Raw genomic sequence first — 22,877 nt, forward strand, 5'->3', positions numbered from 1 at the left:
AGGACATGAGATTTGGGAGGGACCAGGTGTGGAATTATATGGTTTGGCATTGTCCCCTCTCAAATCTCATCTTGAATTGTAGCTCCCATAATTCCCACATGTTGTGGGAGGGACCTGGTGGGAGATAATTGAATCGTGGTGGCAGTTTCCCCCATACTGTTCTCATTGTAGGGAATAAGTCTCACAAAATCAGATGGTTTGATAGGGGGAAACCCCTTTCACTTGGTTTTCATTTTCTCTCTTGCCTGCCTCCATGTAAGACTTGCCCTTCACCTTCCACCATGATTGTGAAACCTCCCCAGCTATATGGAACTGTGAGTCCATTAAACGTGTTTTTCTTCATAAATTATCCAGTCTCAGGTATGTCTTTATCAGCAGTGTGAAAATCGACTAATACAACATATTTCTTGGCGAGTTTGTTCATTTAAAAAAAAATTTTGTCTTTGCCTGATTGGGTTAATTCAAAAGCCATATCTTTTAACTCTGAAATTCTTTTTTCTGCTTGTTCTAGTCTATTGTTGAAACTTTCACTGCATTTTCTATTTCTCTAAGTGTGTCTTTCATTTCCAGAAGTTCTGAGTGTTTTTTCTTTATGGTTTCTTTTTCCCTGGAAGATTTTTACATTCATATCCTGGATTTTTTAAAAAAATATTTAAGTTGGTATTCACCTTTCTCTGGTATCTGGGAAATATTAAGCTACCTTGAGTAACTTAATAATCAACCCTCCGAATTCTTTATGTGGCATTTCAGAGACTTCTTTTTGGTTTGGATCTACTGCTGGGGAGTTAGTGTGATCTTTTGGGGGTGTTTATAGAGCCCTGTTTTGTCATATTACCAGAATTACTTTTCTGGTTCCTTCTTATTTGAGCAGACTATTTCTTGAAATTGTTCATGAATTTATTTTTGATTGGACTGTGGTTTTTTAATTTCATTTTTCCCCTCCTGAGGATCAGACTTTAATGTTTATACTTTATTTTTGCCTAATTTGATTATTGGTGCTTTTAGGGGTGAAGACTCTGTATGAGTTCCTTAGTTATAGAGTCTTTTTGCACTGGCTTTCTTAGATGCTGGTTGTAGTAGTTATATACTCATTGTGTGGGCAAGTTTACTGTCTCCTATTGGTTGAGAATGGCAGGGATCTCTTGAAGCTTATCCCATTCTCTCATGGCGTACATTTTATTTATTTGATTTTTACTCAGTATTTTACTTATGGAGTTGATGATTCAGGCTTCAGGCCAATAGGGGAGGTATCCCTTAGTGGGCACTGGTTGTAGCTAAGGCAGATGGGTAGATGTAATACTCAGTGGTGGGCAGAGGTCCCAGCCTTGATGAAGGTGGCTGAGGGAGCTCTCAATTATATGTGCTGAGGTTTTATCAGGTTGAAGAGGGGGAGCTACCTCAGCTCCCCTGCCAGGCAAGAAGGAAAGGTATACACCTCACAGCTTAGCTTCACTCCTGTCCCAGTGTTCTGGCTATTCAGTTCAGACAGGCATCTTTTTTTCATCTATAGGAATTTAATGTTCCAACTAGGGAGGAATTCTGACTCTGTGTCTCATGCAGGCCTGAATCTGGGGAGTACTCCTCCTGTGGGCTGTAATTACCCTGCATTGTTTCAGGAAGGCTGTCTATAGGTGCATCCATGCTGCCTTCCTGAGGCAAAAAGCCCCAGCTGTGTCTGCAGTGGTGTGCCTGAGGGAACAATGATCCCTTCTCCAAAGCCCTTCATGATCACAGAGGTTACCTGCCTATTGGGGTAGAGGTGCAGACTTTCCCTACTGTGCCCAGCACTGCAGTTGTGGAAATATCTGGGACTCAAGGCCTGCTGTTCAGAATCTTTTATTCCATGAGGTTATCCCTTGATGTGGTGCTCTCCCCCTTCCCCTGGGAACGGGGCTTCCTGAGAGCCTGACTGCAGTGATTTTTATTGCTCTTCTGGGTCTAGCCACCCAGTAAGGCTACCAGTTTCTGGGCTGGTGCTGGAGAATGTCTGCCAAGGATCCAGTGATGTGACCTGTCTTCAAGTGTCCCAGAAATGGATACCAGCACCTGCTCTGATGGAGGTTACAGGGGAGTGATGCAGACTCTGTGAGACTACTTGGTTGTGGATAGATTTAGCGTGCTGGCTTTCTCAAATGCTGGTTATGCTAGTAGTGAACTTGTCATGTGGACAGACTCAGGACCTCTGGTTAGCCAGGATGTTGCAGGCAGTGGTGTTAGCAGCTATTTTCTCCTTCCTGGGAGCAGTATTAATCTGCCAAGATGTGCTGTAATGGCCTGAGTTGGTTGGCCTTCAGTCACGAGGTGGCACTTGCAAGAGAGCGCCAGCTGTGGTAGTAGCAATGGGATTTGAGCTTGCCCTAAGTTGTAAAGAGGAAGTATGCTGATTTCTCAGGTGATGGGTGGGGCCATAAAACTCCCAAAAGTTTGTCTTTTTGTTAGGCTCCTAGGGCAAGTAGAGGAATACCATCAGGTAGGCTCAGGTTTAGGAGGGTCTGAGCTCAGACTCTCCTTGAGCAGGGCCAGCCACAGCCACTGTGGGGGACAAAGGGTGATTCTCAGGCCTCTGGGATAATGTTCCAGAGGGGAGTATAACTGCCTCTGCTGTGTGGAAGAGTTTACAAGGGGAGTAGGGAATAGCTGGCAGTGGAAGGCCTCACCCAGCTCCCATGCAGTTGGCAAGGCCAATCTCACTCCTGCAATGCCCCACTAACAGCACTGGGTTTAGATCCAGGCAGCCTGCACACAAAACTCAGATGTGCCCCAGGCCATAAGCTTCCCCACAGAGATAGCAAACATGGCTCTTAGTCCACGTCCCCTCCACATCTGCCTGCAAGGCTGGGTGCCCAGCTTCTGTACTCTTGTCTGCAGCACACTTCCTGCTTACCCCTGGATTCTGTTCAAGGGAGTTTGTCCCAACTTGAAATTATATCACAAAATTCAGTTGGTAGCTTCTTTCACCCTGTGACCCTGCCCTGAGTTCATTGGCTGACATCCCAGAAGGCCTCTGTGAAATATAGTCAGGAATGGTTTCCCTCGACTTGTGCTGGAGACTGGGAATGCCTACAAGGCACTTCCCACTGCTGCTTCCACTTTTATATTTCATGCTGCTCCCTAAATCCGTTCCAGCTCTGGGAAGGGTTAAGGCTTTCTCCCATGATCTGGATTTTCAGATTCCCTGGTGGGGATGTATGTTTGGACGTAGGCTCTCCCCCTGCACTCTCTGGAAACTTATAGTTTTTTTGCCTGCTTCATGGGATAGGCTGCAGCCTTACACTTCTTTCAAAGGATCTGTGGTTTCTTTTGGTTTTCCTGGTAAGTTCTTGCAGTGGTTCTTGGAAAAAAAAAATTCACAGTGTTAATCCCTGCCCACTATTCTGTCCTTCCAAGTAGGAGAGACACACTAACACCGCCTCCTATCTGCCATCTAAAAAAGAAAAGAACTGTGCTCTTATGTGTTTAGTACTGGTGCTACATTCTTACCAAAAGATAAATCCAAGGAACAAAGTAAGAATTGTCATCCCTGTAGCATCTGAATTCTAGACACTTTTACCTGGATATTCTTTTCTGTATTCATCCCAAGTCAACCAACTGGGATCGAGACAGTGATGCTTTTTAGGGCCCAGATATGTTTGTTCCTCATTCTGATAACTAATTTAAGACAGGATTTCACACAAGACAGGCAATTCTTGCAAGAGGCCTGTAGTGGTAAAAAGGATGTCCAGGTTAGGTTTATAACACATAACACACCCCAGCTTCCCCAAGAGGCAGTACAGTCAGTTGTGAAACCACAGACTGGCTGACACAAGGCTGACTGGGTTTGCATCCTAGCTCTGCCATTCACTCACAGGGCCTTGAACAACTTTCTTAGCCTCTCTGTACCTTTATGTCCTCCTTGTTAGATAGAGAAAATAGTAGTATATACCTCATGTAGTTGTTATAAAAATTAAATGAGTTTGTCCATGCAAAGTTATCCAATGATTCTTAGCTGTCTCAGTTGTACTCATAGCATTTTAACTTATGGAAGTGATTGATGACCACAAGGAGAGGATAATGCCATTAAAGACAGATTTTAATTACTTACATTTTCCTAGAGGAGGGAGTATGCCATGCCATGCAGGGCCACCTTGGAAAGCATCAGTGTCAGTCAGGAGGCAGAAAGGAGAAAGAGGAGGCCCGGCCCAGACCCTTCCTGTATTTCCCACGAAAAAGGCAAGGCAGGGCATAGGAAACAGGTTAGGATTGGCTAGTTAGAATAATTCTGGTGGGCTCTGGGTTACAGGGTGGTCTTTAGTTATCTAGCTGGACCTGGGTGATTTAGGAAAGGGTAAATATTGGGTTGGTGTGTGAGGTAGATAAAAGAGGAGGTTGGGGGTATGGACCTGGGATTGATTCATTTGCGTGTGAGATGCATGTGTGCATGCCAGTTGTTTATTATCTCTAAAAATTAGTTATCCCTCTGTGGGGCAGTCTTTCCCTGGGTAGTTGGGCTCCCCAACACATCAAAATATCATAAAATAGAAAGTCTGTGATGAATACACTAGCCCATGTAAAGTGCTGTATAAGTGATAGCTACTTACATGCAAGAGATACTGAGCCCTGTTAGATGTGAAAGACAAGGAGAGTTCAGATGGGGTTCAGTGTAAAGAAGTGAGTTGCTCTTGTTTTTACAGGTATTAGCAAGCTTAGAAAAACTCCTGCCCAGAATTTGTGTATTGGTTTTTGTCCCCTCTGGTTCTGGAAAGCTCCATTTTAACTCCAGTTTCTGAAACTGTCCTGTTGACTCAGTGTACGTGGTGTTAAGAATTATACCTTTTTGTGCCTGTCCACCTGTTGGTTCATGTGGCAACCAACCTAGGGGTGTGCTTGACCGCATTCTTGCTTTCACCACGGAACTAAAGCCGTTATGACATTAATCAACAACTTTTCAATGTGATCATCCTAAACTAGCACCACCAAGCCAGACTAACCAAATAAATACAAGTACAGAGGTGCGTGTGAGCCAAACGTACTAATAGCATTAGGGTATCAGGGAGACATGGGGGAACTTGCAGAAATACAATAGGAGGTAGTAATTGTATTAGTTCTTCCTGATATCATCTGACAATTGCTCTCAACATTGATCAACAGCTCATTTTATCTGACCCAGCTTTTAGGGCATAACTTGCCTTCCAGGTTGATGCATGTCTATCAGATTAGAGCTTTTACCACGCTGCCCTTGGCCTCATGCACAAGAAGCTTTAAAAACAAGTGAAGGAGGGCTAGAAGGGGTAGAAGTGAAATGAAGATGAATAAGTTGGTTTGAGAATTCTATCAAAAAGTATCTGCAGGACTTCATGGCAGTTGAATACAGGGCTAAGCAGGGGTCAGATGCTGAAATCTAATGACCTTGGGAAATGGGTGTTACCACTAAGAAATGCAATTAAAAGGAAATTGGTTTGGAGTGTCAAGAGAGGCCATACTGGACATACTGTATTTGAGGTGAAGTGACATCCAAATAGATCTGTCCTGTAGGAAAGAGGAGGTGTGAGCCTGGGTGAGAAGATGTCAGGGTAGGAATGGTTGTGAAACCTGTGAGCAAGGACTAGGGTAGCCTAGGGCATGTGCCTGGAATGTGGTGGAGGGAGAGAAGACAGCAGTGGAGAAAACAGAGACCAGGAGGTCAGAAGTAGAAGATCCAGGTGGCATGATCCCAGAGAAGCCGTGGAGGAGAGTTCACGAAGTAGGGAGCAGGCAATTGTGTCTAATGAAGTGCAGAGGTTACATGAGTCAAAGGAAAACTGATTGGTGACACAGGAGTCCTTGGCAAGAACTGTCTGCATAGTGAGATAAGGAAGCCACCTCCAACAATTAAAGAAACACTTTATCTGGGTCAGAAAGAAGTGACCAGTGTAGATAACTTAAGTTTCACAATGAAGAGATGGGCAGATGTACCACAGGGGCTCAGTTTATCATTTCTACTTTAAAAGTGTTATATTTGATGGACTCACGGGTATTCTGTTTTTCTTTTTGGAAAAAAATTTCTGAACTAATGTGAGAGCTCTCCAATTGAACTTTAAGATTAATGTCAAAGTGGCCAGGCACTGTGGCTTATGCCCATAATCCCAGCACTTTGAGAGGCCAAGGAGTTTGAGACCAGCCTGGGCAGCATGGGAAAACCCTGTCTCTACAAAAAATACAAAAAAACTGGCCTGGCATGGTGAGGCACACCTGTAGTCCCAGCTACTTGGGAGGCTAAAGTGGGAGGATCACTTGAGCCCAGGAGATGGAGGTTGCAGTGAATTGAGATTGCACCACTGCAGTCCAGCCTGAGCAACAAAGTGAGACACCCTGTCTCTAAAAGAAGAAAGGAGAATAAGGAGAAGGAGAAGGAAAAGAAGAAGAAAGATTAATCCTATTATTACTGTTCAGCACTGTGTTGTTAACCAAAAAAGAAAAATCTGTCTGCCCTATGGCTAACATCCAACCTCCACAACAAAGTATTACATGGTACATCCGAAAAGAATAACAAAATATCTCATGTTGTGTTACACTTCTGTGTATATTATTATGCATCATAAAGATAATGTTTTTTAAATGACGTAGATTTTTATAAACAAATAGAAATTTCTGTTATGGCTTTCAAATGCCAACCTCTAAGAGCAACTTCATAGAATTTCATAGCGCAGATTAACTATGATAATAAATATAACTCACAAGATTCATGTTCAAGTATTATGTAATGGTCATATGTGAGATTCATTCCAATTGACTTCTTTGCAGAAATTGACAAGCTAATTCAAAAATTCATATGGAAACTCAAGGGACCCAGAATAGCCAATCAAAAACAATCTCTAAATAGAAGAATACATTTGGAGGGCTCAAGCTTTTCAGTGTCAAAACTTTAGACAAAGCTACAGTAATCAAGACAGTGTGGTCTTGATGTACAGATTAATGAAGTGGAACTGTGAGTCCAGAAATAAACCCTCACATTTTATGGTCAGTATATTTCAACAAGAACCCCAAGACAATTCATTTGGAAAAGAATAGTCTTTTCAACAAATGGCGCTGGGACAAATGGATATCCATATGGGAAAAAATGAATGTGAACCTCTTCCCCATATCATATACAAAAATTAACTAGAAGTGAACCAAAGACCTAAATGTATAAAATGCTTACAAGAAAAAATAGGTTGTAGATCTTCATGAACCTAGATTAGTGTATTAGTCTGTTCTCAGGCAGCTAATAAAGACATACCCAAGACTGTGTCATTTATACAGAAAATAGGTTTAATTGAATCACAGTTCCACATGGTTGGGGAGGCCTCACAATCATGATGGAAGGCAAAGGAGGAGTAAAGTCACGTCTTTCATGGTGGGAGGCAAGGAGAGAGAGCATGTGCAGGGGAACTCCCTTTTATAAAACCATCAGATCTCATGAGACTTATTCGCTGCTATGAGAAAGACCCATCCTCATAATTCAATTACCTCCCAATAGATCTCTCCATGACATGTGAGAATTATGGGGGCTACAATTCGAGATTTAGGTGGGGACACAGGAAAAGCATATCAATTAAGCAAAAAGTTTTTTTACATGTGAAACTAAGAACACAACCAACTACAGAAAATATTTTAAAATTTCACTTCCTCTGAATTAAGAATGTTTATGATTCAGAAGACACCTCTGAGAGGGTAAAAAAACAACCCTCAAAGTGGGATAAAGCATTTGAAAAACATAAGTTGGCTAAGAGACTAGAATCCAGACTATATAAAGGACACGTTCTTTTTTTTTCTTTTTCTTTTTCTTTTTTTATTATACTTTAAGTTTTAGGGTACCTGTGCACAATGTGCAGGTTAGTTACATATGTATACATGTGCCATGCTGGTGCACTGCACCCACTAACTCGTCCTCTAGCATTAGGTATATCTCCCAATGCTATCCCTCCCCCCTCCCCCCACCCCACAACAGTCCCCAGAGTGTGATGTTCCCCTTCTTGTGTCCATGTGTTCTCAATGTTCAGTTCCCATCTATGAGTGAGAATATGCGGTGTTTGGTTTTTTGTTCTTGCGATAGTTTACTGAGAATGATGATTTCCAGTTTCATCCATGTCCCTATAAAGTACGTGAACTCATCATTTTTTATGGCTGCATAGTATTCCATGGTGTATATGTGCCACATTTTCTTAATCCAGTCTATCATTGTTGGACATTTGGGTTGGTTCCAATCTTTGCTATTGTGAATAATGCCACAATAAACATACGTGTGCATGTGTCTTTATAGCAGCATGATTTATAGTCCTTTGGGTATATACCCAGTAATGGGATGGCTGGGTCAAATGGTATTTCTAGTTCTAGATCCCTGAGGAATCACCACACTGACTTCCACAATGGTTGAGCTAGTTTACAGTCCCACCAACAGTGTAAAAGTGTTCCTATTTCTCCACATCCTCTCCAGCACCTGTTGTTTCCTGACTTTTTAATGATTGCCATTCTAACTGGTGTAAGATGGTATCTCATTGTGGTTCTGATTTGCACTTCTCTGATGGCCAGTGATGGTGAGCATTTTTTCATGTGTTTTTTGGCTGCATAAATGTCTTCTTTTGAGAAGTGTCTGTTCATGTCCTTCGCCCACTTTTTGATGCGGTTGTTGGTTTTTTTCTTGTAAATTTGTTTGAGTTCATTGTAGATACTGGATATTAGCCCTTTGTCAGATGAGTAGGTTGCGAAAATTTTCTCCCATTTTGTAGGTTGCCTGTTCACTCCGATGGTGGTTTCTTTTGCTGTGCAGAAGCTCTTTAGTTTAATTAGATACCATTTGTCAATTTTGGCTTTTGTTGCCAATGCTTTTGGTGTTTTAGACATGAAGTCCTTGCCCATGCCTATGTCCTGAATGGTAATGCCTAAGTTTTCTTCTAGGGTTTTTATGGTTTTAGGTCTAACGTTGAAGTCTTTAATCCATCTTGAATTAATTTTTGTATAAGGTGTAAGGAAGGGATCCAGTTTCAGCTTTCTACATATGGCTAGCCAGTTTTCCCAGCACCATTTATTAAATAGGGAATCCTTTCCCCATTGCTTGTTTTTCTCAGGTTTGTCAAAGATCAGATAGTTGTAGATATGCGGCGTTATTTCTGAGGGCTCTGTTCTGTTCCATTGATCTATATCTCTGTTTTGGTACCAGTACCATGCTGTTTTGGTTACTGTAGTCTTGCAGTATAGTTTGAAGTCAGGTAGCGTGATGCCTCCAGCTTTGTTCGTTTGGCTTAGGATTGACTTGGCGATGTGGGCTCTTTTTTGGTTCCATATGAACTTTAAAGAAGTTTTTTCCAATTCTGTGAAGAAAGTCATTGGTAGCTTGATGGGGATGGCATTGAATCTGTAAATTACCTTGGGCAGTATGGCCATTTTCACGATATTGATTCTTCCTACCCATGAGCATGGAATGTTCTTCCATTTGTTTGTATCCTCTTTTATTTCCTCGAGCAGTGGTTTATAGTTCTCCTTGAAGAGGTCCTTCACATCCCTTGTAAGTTGGATTCCTTGGTATTTTATTCTCTTTGAAGCAATTGTGAATTGGAAGTTCACTCATGATTTGGCTCTGTGTTTGTCTGTTATTGGTGTATAAGAATGCTTGTGAGTTTTGCACATTGATTTTGTATCCTGAGACTTTGCTGGAGTTGCTTATCAGCTTAAGGAGATTTTGGGCTGAGACAATGGGGTTTTCTAGATATACAATCATGTCGTCTGCAAACAGGGACAATTTGACTTCCTCTTTTCCTAATTGAATACCCTTTATTTCCTTCTCCTGCCTAATTGCCCTGGCCAGAACGTCCAACACTATGTTGAATAGTTGTGGTGAGAGAGGGCATCCCTGTCTTGTGCCAGTTTCCAAAGGGAATGCTTCCAGTTTTTGCCCATTCAGTATGATATTGGCTGTGGGTTTGTCATAGATAGCTCTTATTATTTTGAGATACGTCCCATCAATACCTAATTTATTGAGAGTTTTTAGCATGAAGGGTGGTTGAATTTTGTCAAAGGCCTTTTCTGCATCTATTGAGATAATCTGTGGTTTTTGTCTTTGGTTCTGTTTATATGCTGGATTACATTTATTGATTTGCGTATATTGAACCAGCCTTGCATCCCAGGGATGAAGCCCACTTGATCATGGTCGATAAGCTTTTTGATGTGCTGCTGGATTCGGTTTGCCAGTATTTTATTGAGGATTTTTACATCAATGTTCATCAAGGATATTGGTCTAAAATTCTCTTTTTTTGTTGTGTCTCTGCCCAGCTTTGGTATCAGGATGATGCTGGCCTCATAAAATGAGTTAGGGAGGATTCCCTCTTTTTCTATTGATTGGAATAGTTTCAGAAGGAATGGTACCAGTTCCTCCTTGTACCTCTGGTAGAATTCAGCTGTGAATCCATCTGGTGCTGGACTCTTTTTGGTTGATAAGCTATTGATTATTGCCACAATTTCAGATCCTGTTATTGGTCTATTCAGAGATTCAACTTCTTCCTGGTTTAGTCTTGGGAGAGTGTATGTGTCCAGGAATTTATCCATTTCTTCTAGATTTTCTAGTTTATTTGCATAGAGTTGTTTGTAGTATTCTCTGATGGTAGTTTGTATTTCTGTGGGATCAGTGGTGATATCCCCTTTATCATTTTTTATTATTTCTATTTGATTCTTCTCTCTTTTTTTCTTTATTAGTCTTCCTAGCGGTCTATCAATTTTGTTGATCCTTTCAAAAAACCAGCTCCTGGATTCATTAATTTTTTGAAGGGTTTTTTGTGTCTCTATTTCCTTCAGTTCTGCTCTGATTTTAGTTATTTCTTGCCTTCTGCTAGCTTTTGAATGTGTTTGCTCTTGCTTTTCTAGTTCGTTTAATTGTGATGTTAGGGTGTCAATTTTGGATCTTTCCTGCTTTCTCTTGTGGGCATTTAGTGCTCTAAATTTCCCTCTACACACTGCTTTGAATGCATCCCAGAGACTCTGGTATGTGGTGTCTTTGTTCTCATTGGTTTCAAAGAACATCTTTATGTCTGCCTTCATTTCGTTATGTACCCAGTAATCATTCAGGAGCACGTTGTTCAGTTTCCATGTAGTTGAGCGGTTTTGAGTGAGATTCTTAATCCTGAGTTCTAGTTGGATTGCACTGTGGTCTGAGAGACAGTTTGTTATAATTTCTGTCTTTTACATTTGCTAAGGAGTGCTTTACTTCCAAGTATGTGGTCAATTTTGGAATAGGTGTGGTGTGGTGCTGAAAAAAATGTATATTCTGTTGATTTGGGGTGGAGAGTTCTGTAGATGTCTATTAGGTCCGCTTGGTGCAGAGCTGAGTTCAATTCCTGGGTATCCTTGTTGACTTTCTGTCTCATTGATCTGTCTAATGTTGACAGTGGGGTGTTAAAGTCTCCCATTATTAATGTGTGGGAGTCTAAGTCTTTTTGTATGTCACTCAGGACTTGCTTTATGAATCTGGGTGCTCCTGTATTGGGTGCATATATATTTAGGATAGTTAGCTCTTCCTATTGGAATGATCCCTTTACCATTATGTAATGGCCTTCTTTGTCTCTTTTGATCTTTGTTGGTTTAAAGTCTGTTTTATCAGAGACTAGGATTGAAACCCCTGCCTTTTTTTGTTTTCCATTTGCTTGGTAGATCTTCCTCCATCCTTTTGTTTTGAGCCCATGTGTGTCTCTGCACGTGAGATGGGTTTCCTGGATACAGCACACTGATGGGTCTTGACTCTTTATCCAATTTGCCAGTCTGTGTCTTTTAATTGGAGGATTTAGTCCATTTACATTTAAAGTTAATATTGTTATGTGTGAATTTGATCCTGTCATTATGATGTTAGCTGGTTATTTTGCTCGTTAGTTGATGCAGTTTCTTACTAGTCTCAATGGTCTTTACATTTTGGCATGATTTTGCAGTGGCTGGTACCGGTTGTTCCTTTCCATGTTTAGCGCTTCCTTCAGGAGCTGTTTTAGGGCAGGCCTGGTGGTGACAAAATCTCTCAGCATTTGCTTGTTTGTAAAGTATTTTATTTCTCCTTCACTTATGAAGCTTAGTTTGGCTGGATATGAAATTCTGGGTTGAAAATTCTTTTCTTTAAGAATGTTGAATATTGGCCCCCACTCTCTTCTGGCTTGTAGAGTTTCTGCCGAGAGATCCGCTGTTAGTCTGATGGGCTTCCCTTTGAGGGTAACCCGACCTTTCTCTCTGGCTGCCCTTAACATTTTTTCCTTCATTTCAACTTTGGTGAATCTGACAATTATGTGTCTTGGAGTTGCTCTTCTCGAGGAGTATCTTTATGGCGTTCTCTGTATTTCCTGAATCTGAATGTTGGCCTGCCTTGCTAGACTGGGAAGTTCTCCTGGATAATATCCTGCAGAGTGTTTTCCAACTTGGTTCCATTCTCCCCATCACTTTCAGGTACACCAGTCAGACTTAGATTTGGTCTTTTCACATAGTCCCATATTTCTTGGAGGCTTTGCTCGTTTCTTTTTATACTTTTTTCTCTAAACTTCTCTTCTCGCTTCATTTCATTCATTTCATCTTCCATCATTGATACCCTTTCTTCCAGTTGATCGCATCCGTTCCTGAGGCTTCTGCATTCTTCATGTAGTTCTCGAGCCTTGGTTTTCAGCTCCATCAGCTCCTTTAAGCACTTCTCTGTATTGGTTATTGTAGTTATACATTCTTCTAAATTTTTTTCAAAGTTTTCAACTTTTTTGCCTTTGGTTTGAATGTCCTCCCCTAGCTCGGAGTAATTTGATCGTCTGAAGCCTTCTTCTCTCAGCTCGTCAAAGTCATTCTCCATCAAGCTTTGTTCCATTGCTGGTGAGGAACTGCGTTCCTTTGGAGGAGGAGAGGCGCTCTGCTTTTTAGAGTTTCCAGTTTTTCTGCTCTGTTTTTTCCCCATCTTTGTGGTTTTATCTACTTTTGGTCTTTGATGATGGTGATGTACAGATGGGTTGTTGGTGTGGATGTCCTTTCTGTTTGTTAGTTTTCCTTCTAACAGACAGGACCCTCAGCTGCAGGTCTGTTGGAGTACCAGGCCTTGTGAGGTGTCAGTTTGCCCCTGCTGGGGGGTGCCTCCCAGTTAAGCTGCTCGGGGGTCAGGGGTCAGGGACCCACTTGAGGAGGCAGTCTGCCCATTCTCAGATCTCCAGCTGCGTGCTGGGAGAACCACTGCTCTCTTCAAAGCTGTCAGACAGGGACATTTAAGTCTGCAGAGGTTCCTGCTGTCTTTTTGTTTGTCTGTGCCCTGCCCCCAGAGGTGGAGCCTACAGAGGCAGGCAGGCCTCCTTGAGCTGTGGTGGGCTCCACCCAGTTCGAGCTTCCTGGCTGCTTTGTTTACTTAATCAAGCCTGGGCAATAACGGGCGCCCCTCCCCCAGCCTGGCTGCCGCCTTGCAGTTTGATCTCAGACTGCTGTGCTAGCAATCAGCGAGACTCGGTGGGTGTAGGACCCTCTGAGCCAGGTGCAGGGTATAATCTCCTGGTGCGCCGTTTTTTAAGCCCATCGGAAAAGCGCAGTATTTGGGTGGGAGTGACCTGATTTTCCAGGTGCCGTCTGTCACCCCTTTCTTTGACTAGGAAAGGGAAGTCCCTGATCCCTTGCGCTTCCCTAGTGAGGCAATGCCTCACCCTGCTTCGGCTAACGCATGGTGCGTGCACCCACTGACCTGCACCCTCTGTCTGGCATTCCCTAGTGAGATGAACCCAGTACCTCAAATGGAAATGCAGAAATCACCTGTCTTCTGCGTCGCTCACGCTGGGAGCTGTAGACCGGAGCTGTTCCTATTCGGCCGTCTTATAAAGGACACTCTCAACTCAATAATAAAAAAGACCACTGAGTGAAAATATGGGCAAAAAATTTGAATAGACATTTCTTCTTCAGAACAGGAAAGATTTCAATAAAATTCTAGATGATGAAAAGTGAACAAGAATGTATCACTGGATGAGAATCCTGGAATAAGCTCCAAGGGGCTGCCATGTAACTAGGAGGGAGAGGATCTGCCTAGCAACCTCTAAAGGCTCCGGAGTCTGAGAGGGCAGACAGGACTGAGAGCAGGAGTGAGAAGCTTGGCTGAGCAGAGAATTCAGTTAAGGTTAAAATGCATGTGCAAAGGCAGCAGGAAATGTCATACCTACCCTCATCTGGAATACCCTGTGGTGGAAGATGGGTTATAGGAAGATTCTTCTCTAAAAAGTTAAATATCTTCCATTAACTTTTCTGATGGTTTCTGAAGTATGTGCCTTTTATGCCCAGGCCACATGCCCTCAGCCCAGCATGGATTTTAGTAGCAGCTCTGATGGGTACTTTCCATGCACAAATTCTCCCACCTCTCAGTCTCCCTGTGCTTTGTTCAGCCTTAAAGCTTCTCCTGAGGCAAGGGGACATCAGTCATTCCCGTTTAGGAGAGCCAAGAATCATTGCTGGAGGCAAACCTCAGAGGGAGATACATATCCATAAAGAAATGTCCCAGACTCTCATCCTTCAGAGGGACAATGCTAAGGCTCATTTTGTATGGTTCTTTAGAGGCTCCCAGGAGAGACTGAACCTCACTCTCCCATGTAGTGACCAGCTGAAAAACACATCCCTTCTCAGCAATTTCCCTTTATCTGCTCATCCTCTTTATTTCTGGACTTGTGGGATTCACTTCTGCACACAAGTCTTCGTTTCAGACTCTCTTTTGTGGAAAAGCATATAGATCTCTCTCTCCCTCCCCCAACTCTATGTGTGTGACTGTGTATGTCTATGAGCTACACACACACACACAAATCTGTCCTAGAAAGTACAAGAGACAACTTTCACTACTCAGTAAACCAAATTAACTTTCACACATGTGATTGTGATATGATGTACAGACTTTGGGGACCCTGGTGGTAGAGCAGGGTAAGGAAGTTGACTCTGTCTTCAAGCACTGATATGAAGATTCACCCAGGTTCCTTCCAGGGAACTGGCCCCTGGCCCCTCCAGGCCTTCCCATTACCACAGCAGGTGTCAGTAATGCAGCATTCTTTTTGTTTTTTTTGTTTGTTTGTGTGTGTCAAGTTAAATATGAGACCAATGGTAGTGATAAGCCTGATATCAGTCATTCTTCAGGACTCCCTTCTCTTGCTTTGGGCCTCACCAGCATTCTGGAGCTTCTTCATGTTCCGGATGAATAAGGGAGAGTTATCTGGCATTCAGTCTGTTGAGATCATTGCTAAAGATATGCTCAAGGCTGAACATCATTTAGTCCAGGAGTTTTGCCACAGGACAATAGCTCATGAGACCTCATTACACAGAAGGCAGATGGCTCAGTTGTGGCCACTCAGCTCCAAGGACCTTTGCCTTAAATCCCCAAACCCTGGCACTGAGGGTGCTGCCCTGTCTCAAGGTGAGTACCTTTATATTCTCAGTGCACTGCATTTGAGTGGTTCTGATTTCTACCACTTAAAGAAACCCACTTCCCTACTTCCCCACTGGCCGGCTCCCACTTTTTCCTAATCCACCTTTACAGGGATATGGCTTTTCCCTCCTCCAACATGAGACAAACACCCTGGCTCCCTTTTTCCACTACTTTATCTCTTTCAAAATGGACTTACTAGTTTGTTAAGATGCTCTAGATAAAGCAATGAAGACCCTAACTTAACATCCTAGAAGAGTATATTCTGGGGATAACATTCTCCAGTCTTTAGAAAATTAATAGCCAGTATCCCAAACTAAGCAGCATGCCACTTCTAAGTGGCAGAATGCAAATAATACTGTGGAGTATTTAGGTCCACATCTGGTTCTGTTTAATTCTCAGTCACTCATTATCTTACACTTGTCTTGGCTTCTGGATCAGAGAAAAATGGCATGAAGACATAATGTGCAAATTATGTGAGCATATTTGCAAATGGTGCTCCTAGATACTTGAGAATTGAGAGACTCCTGGGCTGGGACCAGCTCAGTCGTGGAGACCCTAACCCAGCGGCGCTAGAGGAATTAAAGACACACACACAGAGAGAAATATAGAGTGCAGAGTGGGAATCAGGGGGCTGACACCCTTCAGAGCTGAGAGCCACCAGCAGAGTTCTTCCCACCTATTTATTGACAGCAAGCCAGTGATAAGCATTGTTTTTATAGATTATCGATTAACATAAACAGGAAGCAAAATATGGGCTCTGGCTAGTTATCTACAGCAGGAACATGTCCTTAAGGCACAGATCACTCATGCTATTGTTTGTGGTTCAGGAACACCTTAAGCGGTTTTCCACCCTGGGTGGGCCAGGTGTTCCTTGCCCTCATTCCAGTAAACCAACAACCTTCAGCGTGGGCATCATAGCCATCATGAGCATGTCACAGTGCTGCAGAGATTTTGTTTATGGCAAGTTTGGGGGCCTGTCTATGGCCAGATTTGGGGGCCTGTTCCCAACACTCCTGGTGAAATAATCCAAGGAAAATTCTCTCATCCATATGACGTTAAGTTGTTTTGGCAAGAGAAAATGGCTCATGTTGAGTAGAGTATATGCTAAGGAAAGCCATGTGAGCCTGGCCCATGCCCTCAGCTCACATAGGAAGCCTAGGACAAGGAAAGGCTAACCACAGCACAACATGGGCATATGGATAATGCTAGGCTGGCCTCTCCAGTCAAGCCTCAGCAGCAAATGTTAGGGTAAACCTAAAGTTTTGCAGATGCTGGAGCGGATGTGGAGAAATAGGAATGCTTTTACACTGTTGGTGGGAGTGTAAATTAGTTCAACCATTGTGGAAGACAGTGTGGTGATTCCTCAAGGATCTAGAACTAGAATTACCATTTGACCCAGCCATCCCATTACTGGGTATATACCCAAAGGATTATAAATCATGCTACTATAAAGACACATGCACACGTATGTTTATTGTGGCGCTATTCACATAGTGAAACACCATCTGTAAATAAATAAATAGATAAGAGATATCTTCTTTTGTCTCAAATAAATGTAGTAAAAGTAAGCTTTTTGTTTTGAAAATGTTTAAAATCTCCCATCTATGAAAATATAATTTTTAATAGATGGAATCGAGACGTCTGGTAGCTACCTAGAAAATGATAATGCTGTATCCATACTCAGATTGTATTTTTAGAGGTCTGGGGTAAGGTCTGATAGTCTACATTTCCAATAGGCTCAAAGTAGATGCCAATGCTTCTAGTGCAAGGACCACACTTTCAGTAGCCAAGGACTAGAAGCTCCAGTTCCCTAGCAGGAGGGAAATCCCTGACTTTCATGAACAAATAATGTTTCTTTTCGCTGAGTGTGGTTGAAGAGAGGGAACTGTTCATTCAGTTTTTACAATGAGTATTTGAGCATACCTGTGAGATTAAGCATAGGTAGACTGAGCAACAGTAGTTTTTCCTCTAGGAATCCTGGATTTGGCATCCAGTGATGTAATTTCAAATCCTAGCATCACCACTTATAATCCATTGTAGCCTTTGGCAAATTACTAAAACTCTTCAAGCCTCTCATAGAGTAGTACGAAGATGAAATCAGGTAATATAAATGCATTTGGCCCAGCTCCTGACTTATAGATAGCATTTATTGTTGCTTAAATAAGAACTTCTTTGGCAATTCTTGCTAACTCAATTCATCAAGTAACCATAAAGAGCATATAAGTCCAGATCTGAGTTTAAGCCCTTACTCTACCACTTAGCTACACTAAGTAGCTGTACAATCATTAGACACTTGGGAGCCTGGTATTTCTCATATTTCTAATAAGGGGATTGGGTTGGATGATGTCTAACAATCCTCACAGCCCTAAGGGTCCTCATATCCCTAATTGTCCATGTCATTCTTGAGCACCTTTTCTCTGTGAGGCAAAGGTAGGCAAACCTTAAAAAGAAACTGTCTAGAGTCAGAATGAGCTGAATTGACACAGCAAACTGGAAGTTGGGGAAGAAAGAAAAAAAGAGAAAAACAAGAATCTGGAACATTCCTGCTCAGTTTTGGACCTGAAGATCTATTCTTTTTCCTGATCAAACTATCTTGCTTAGTATTCTCTGCCAGGGACATATCTCAGTCATCACTTAGGACTCCTTGGACTGACAGGTGGAGAAACCAAGCACACAAGGCATTATATCTGAAGGACGAGCTCAGCCATAATCCAAGTAGACTTTTGAGGGCCCCATCAGTCAAGCTACAGTCACCAGACAGGGAACAGATACGAAGTCTCCAGGAAGAGGGCATTGGCAAGAGTAAGGCAGTGTAGCTGGAGTTCAGGCTGAGAGGAGGGAACACCACAGCTCAGGGGCATCAAAATGGATCACTGGAATGTATTGTCTTTGGAGATTTGAGAGCAACCCAGAGACTCATTAAACTATATTAGGATTCCTGGATTGGGAAGATAAATGTTACTAAATCCTTTCAGATATGTATATTTGATATTATTTCATAATTCTTTAATCTTATAAAGTTTGGGAACTAAGGCAGAACAGATCTTGGGTCAGACCATATGCACAAGATATCAGCGGAAGAACTGGGGAGGACAAAGGGAGGAGAAGCAACACCACTGTGCTGGGAAATAGAAGTCAAATGACATACCTTTTAGACTATGTAAGGCCCTAGACTTTCAGCCAGTTCCAGAAGAGTAGGAAGCTCTACCAAGAGATCTTGAACCTTCTGTTAATCTAGAGGATGCGGATAGCTATTTACTTGGGGGAAAAAAAAACAAAAAACAAAAACACAGACCATCACTCTATTTATATGCTGATCTGTGGGGCAGTTTATACTATACACATAATGGAATGCTGCAAAACAGATTTTTTTATTTTTATTTTTTTATTTTTTTTTTGAGATGGAGTCTCGCTCTGTCCCCAGGCTGGAGTGCAGTGGCACAATCTCGGCTCACTGCAACCTCCGCCTCCTAGGTTCAAGCGATTCTCCTGCCTCAGCCTCCTGAGTAGCTGGGACTACAGGCACGCACCACCATGCCCAGCTAATTTTTGTATTTTTAGTAGAGACAGGGTTTCACCATGTTGGCCAGGAAGGTCTCAATCTCCTGACCTCGTGATCCACCCACCTTGGCCTCTCAAAGTGCTAAGATTACAGGCGTGAGCCACCGTGCCCAGCACAGAACAAATTTTTAAAATGATGATACAGACATACATTTATACATTTACTTCATGGAAAGATCTCTACAACATACTATTGAGAGGGAAAAAGCAAGTTATAAAGCAGCATATATAAAGCAGCATGATCCCATTTATGTACAATGAGTCACAAGATCAGTAATAAGTATGTCCTCTTCATTTGGCTGGGTATAACATAAATTCAAATTTCCTTTACTGTTCAAATTATAACGCTAGTTCTATTCTACTCAGCTCAGCAGAAAATAGTTTTCCTTAATGACGTTCTTTCATGTCAATTTTGTTTCACATCTCTTTTCATGAAACCAACTTTTAGTTTCTTTCTTTTTTTTTTTTCTTGAGACAGGTCTCCCTCTGTCTCAAGGCTGGACTACAGTGGCATGACAATAGTTCACTGCAACCTTGATCTCTTGGGCTCAAGGGATCCTTCCATCTCAGCCTCCCAAGTAGATGGGACTACAGGTGCATGCCACCATGTCCAGCTTATTTTTTCTTTTTAGTAGAGACAAGGTCTTGCTGTGTTGCCCAGGCTGGTCTTGAACTCCTTGAGCTCAAGTGATCCTCCCAACTGGGCCTCTCAAAGTGCTGAGATTACAGGTGTAAACCACCTCACCCAGCCTAATCTTTATTATTTTCTTCCTTCTACTAGCTTTGGGTTTAGTTTGCTGGAATGTACAAAGTTAGATTATTCCTTATATAACAGAATTCTTTTTTTCTTTTTTTTGAGATGGAGTCTCGCTCCAAATGACAGAACTCTTAAATGAGTTGTCTAAGTGAGCACACTTTGTCATTGCTAGGAGAACTTGAGGGTTCAAATGTACCACTACTTTCCAAAGTAGCCCTTGACTTCCCAAATTATAGCTCTTTAGGGGCGGATTCTTCCATTGTTCACATACACAACACTCACTAGATCACAAGATTTCCCTCATAAAAACCGAAATAGTGCAGAGGTTGATATCTACTGCCCATAGATTCTAAATCTTCCTAACCCTAACTTCAGTGAAGAAGCCAGACCACTGCCCACTCTGTTTTGATGGTCATAGGCACTGTTGTCTGAAAGACCAGTTGACTGCCACACTAAATAAGTGAATATCAAAGAAGGATATGAAACTCATCCCTCTTGGAGGCACCAGTGGAGCTTACTGTAATTTTTCCTCCTGTGCTATAAATTTCAGATTCTGCACATCACACATGTACGAAGAAATATGACCGGAAGGATTTTTCACTAAAATGCTAACAGTCATGGAATAATTTGGGGGATTTATTTTATTTTTTTAAATTTGTTATATTGTTGAATTTTTAGAACAATGAAGATATGTAATTTTTATAATTAGAAGAGTAATAAACAGCTAGCACTTATTAATCACTTGCTATCCACAAACATTTTACACCTGATCCTTCACAGGACCTCTATAAGGTACATACTGTTGCTATCCTCATTTACCAATAAAGAAACTGAGACAGAAACAGATCAAGTAATTTGCCTGAGTCACACAGCTGAGAAGTGGCAGAGCCAGGGTACAAACCTAGATAGTCTGTTTTCATTTTTTTTTTCCTTTTAGAGACAGAGCCTTACTCTATCACCCAGGCTGGAGTGTGGTGGTGCAATCACAGCTCACTGCAGCCTCATCCTCCTGGGCTCAAGTGATCTTCCCATCTCAGCCTCCTGAATAGCTGGAACTACAGGTGTGCACCAGCATGCCCAGCTAATTTTTTAATTTTTTGTAGAGATAGGGTCTCACTATGTTGCCCAGACTGGTCTCAAATCCCTGGGTTCAAGTGATCCTCCTGTCTCAGCCTCCCAAAGTGCTGGGATTACAGGCATGAGCCACCATGCTTAGCCTGTTTTACCTACTATGTTTATTGTATAAAGATTTTTTACTTGAGGTAAGGAGAAGTAAACTAGTAAGAATCCAAAGATGAATATATAAAGTATATGCTCAATACATTAATGTTACATTTTGAGGGGGTTACATTCTGGTTGTGCCAAAGGGTATATTTCAGGATCTTGCCACATTACCATCACTGATAAAAGTCTACCAAGTATTTAAGTGCTACTGTAGCCCATTCTCAATCATGATCAAATGCATGAAGAAATGTTCTTTGCTATTCAAATTTATTTTGCTTGGGGCAAACCTAAAAATGATCACTAAGCAGACACTGCTAAATAACAGATCTACAAATAACATTCTGGCACAAAGCAAGTTGCAGCTTTGTTGAGAAGCACCAGCTAGCAAGGCTAGTTTTAGAAATGATTAAGAAAACAGGTATGATTATATAGTCGGTCATATTTTAAAGCAAATGTAGATGAGCAGGAAGGTGAGGTGAACAAGGGGCTGGCACAGTCCAGTGACTGAGTGAGTAACACTAAGAGGTGGATCACTAACAGATGGTAATGGGCTTAGATGGCCAGATGTACTTAACAGTGTAGTTAGGCACAGACAGTAAGCACTTCTGAGCCAGAGAAGTTGACTTCTGTACCTTCAAGCTCCAAACCTTCTGCTCATTGTACACTAACATACTGTGTTTCATAGGCTAGCAATGCCAACTGTTGTAGAAAAATATTGATGAAAGTAATTGAAAATTCTAACAAAACCTAATTCCATGTTATAGCTAAATTAATACATTAGTATAGTCTCCTCCTTGGTGTAATAATTTCTCAAGAATATATTCCATTAAAGCCCTAGTATACTTATGCCACCTCCTCTATGTCACTAATTCTCCACTAGGTCTCTTTCTGCTTCCAGAAAAACTGTTATGCACAGAAAACTTGGATGTACACAATCCAATCTGAGTTATATTAACATAATGGCATTAAACAAACTCACATCCATTAGGATGGCTACTATCAGGAAAAGAAAAAAAACAAAAAACAAAGATAAAAAGTGTTGGCAAGGATGTGGTGAAATCAGAAGTCTGTGCCCGATTGGTGGGATTGTAAAATGGTACAACTGCTGTGGAAAACAGTGTGGCGGTTCCTCAAAAAATTAAAAATAGAACTACCATATGATCCAAGGGTCTTGAAAAGATATTTGTACACCCATGGTCATAAGCAGCACAATTCAAAATAGACAAGCGGTGGAAGCAAACCAAATGTCTCTCAACAGATGAATGCATAAATACAATGTGGCGTATACATACAATGCAATATTATTTAGCCTTAAAGAGGATGGAAATCCTGTCACATGCTGTAACATGGATGAACCTGAAGGATATTATTTTAAGTGAGACAAGCCAGTCACAAGAACATAAACACGGTATGATTCTACTTACATGAGCTATCTGCATTATTCAAATTCATTGAGACAGAAAGTAGAATGGTGGTTACCAGGGGCTGGACAGACGGGGAAGAGGTAGGTTGTTGTTTAAGGAGTATATGGTTGCAGATTTGCAAGACAAAAAAGTTTTTGAAATCTGATTCACAATAGTATGAGTATACTTAACACCACAGAACTTTATTCTGAAAAATGGTTAAGATGGTAAATGTTATGTTTTTTACCATAATATGTTTTAAAAACTTCACAAAAAATCAAAATGTTAAACATAAAAGAAAATGGATTAATTAGACTTGATAAAAGTTAAAAATACATTGGTCCATACCAAGATGTCCAAATAGGAAGAGCTCTGGTCTGCAGCTCCCAGCGTGATCGATGCAGAAGATGGGTGATTTCTGTATTTCCAACTGAGGTACCTGGTTCATCTCATTGGGACTGGTTGGACAGTGGGTGCAGCCCAGAGAGGGTGAGCCGAAGCAGGGTAGGGCATTGCCTCACCCGGGAAGTGCAAGAGGTCAGGGGATTTCCATTTC

At 41.7% G+C, this 22,877-nt stretch overlaps 1 annotated feature.

Moving 5' to 3' along the window:
• Nucleotides 12,761–13,261: an enhancer, noted in NCBI's record as "OCT4-NANOG-H3K4me1 hESC enhancer chr11:13581490-13581990 (GRCh37/hg19 assembly coordinates)". NCBI's record gives its function as "activates a minimal SCP1, AML or CMV promoter by ChIP-STARR-seq in naive H9 embryonic stem cells {active_cell/tissue: H9 hESC(naive)}" and the evidence as "EXISTENCE:reporter gene assay evidence [ECO:0000049][PMID:30033119]".

Source organism: Homo sapiens, chromosome 11 (genome assembly GCF_000001405.40).
Source record: "Homo sapiens chromosome 11, GRCh38.p14 Primary Assembly".
In the NCBI taxonomy this organism is placed as follows: domain Eukaryota; kingdom Metazoa; phylum Chordata; class Mammalia; order Primates; family Hominidae; genus Homo; species Homo sapiens.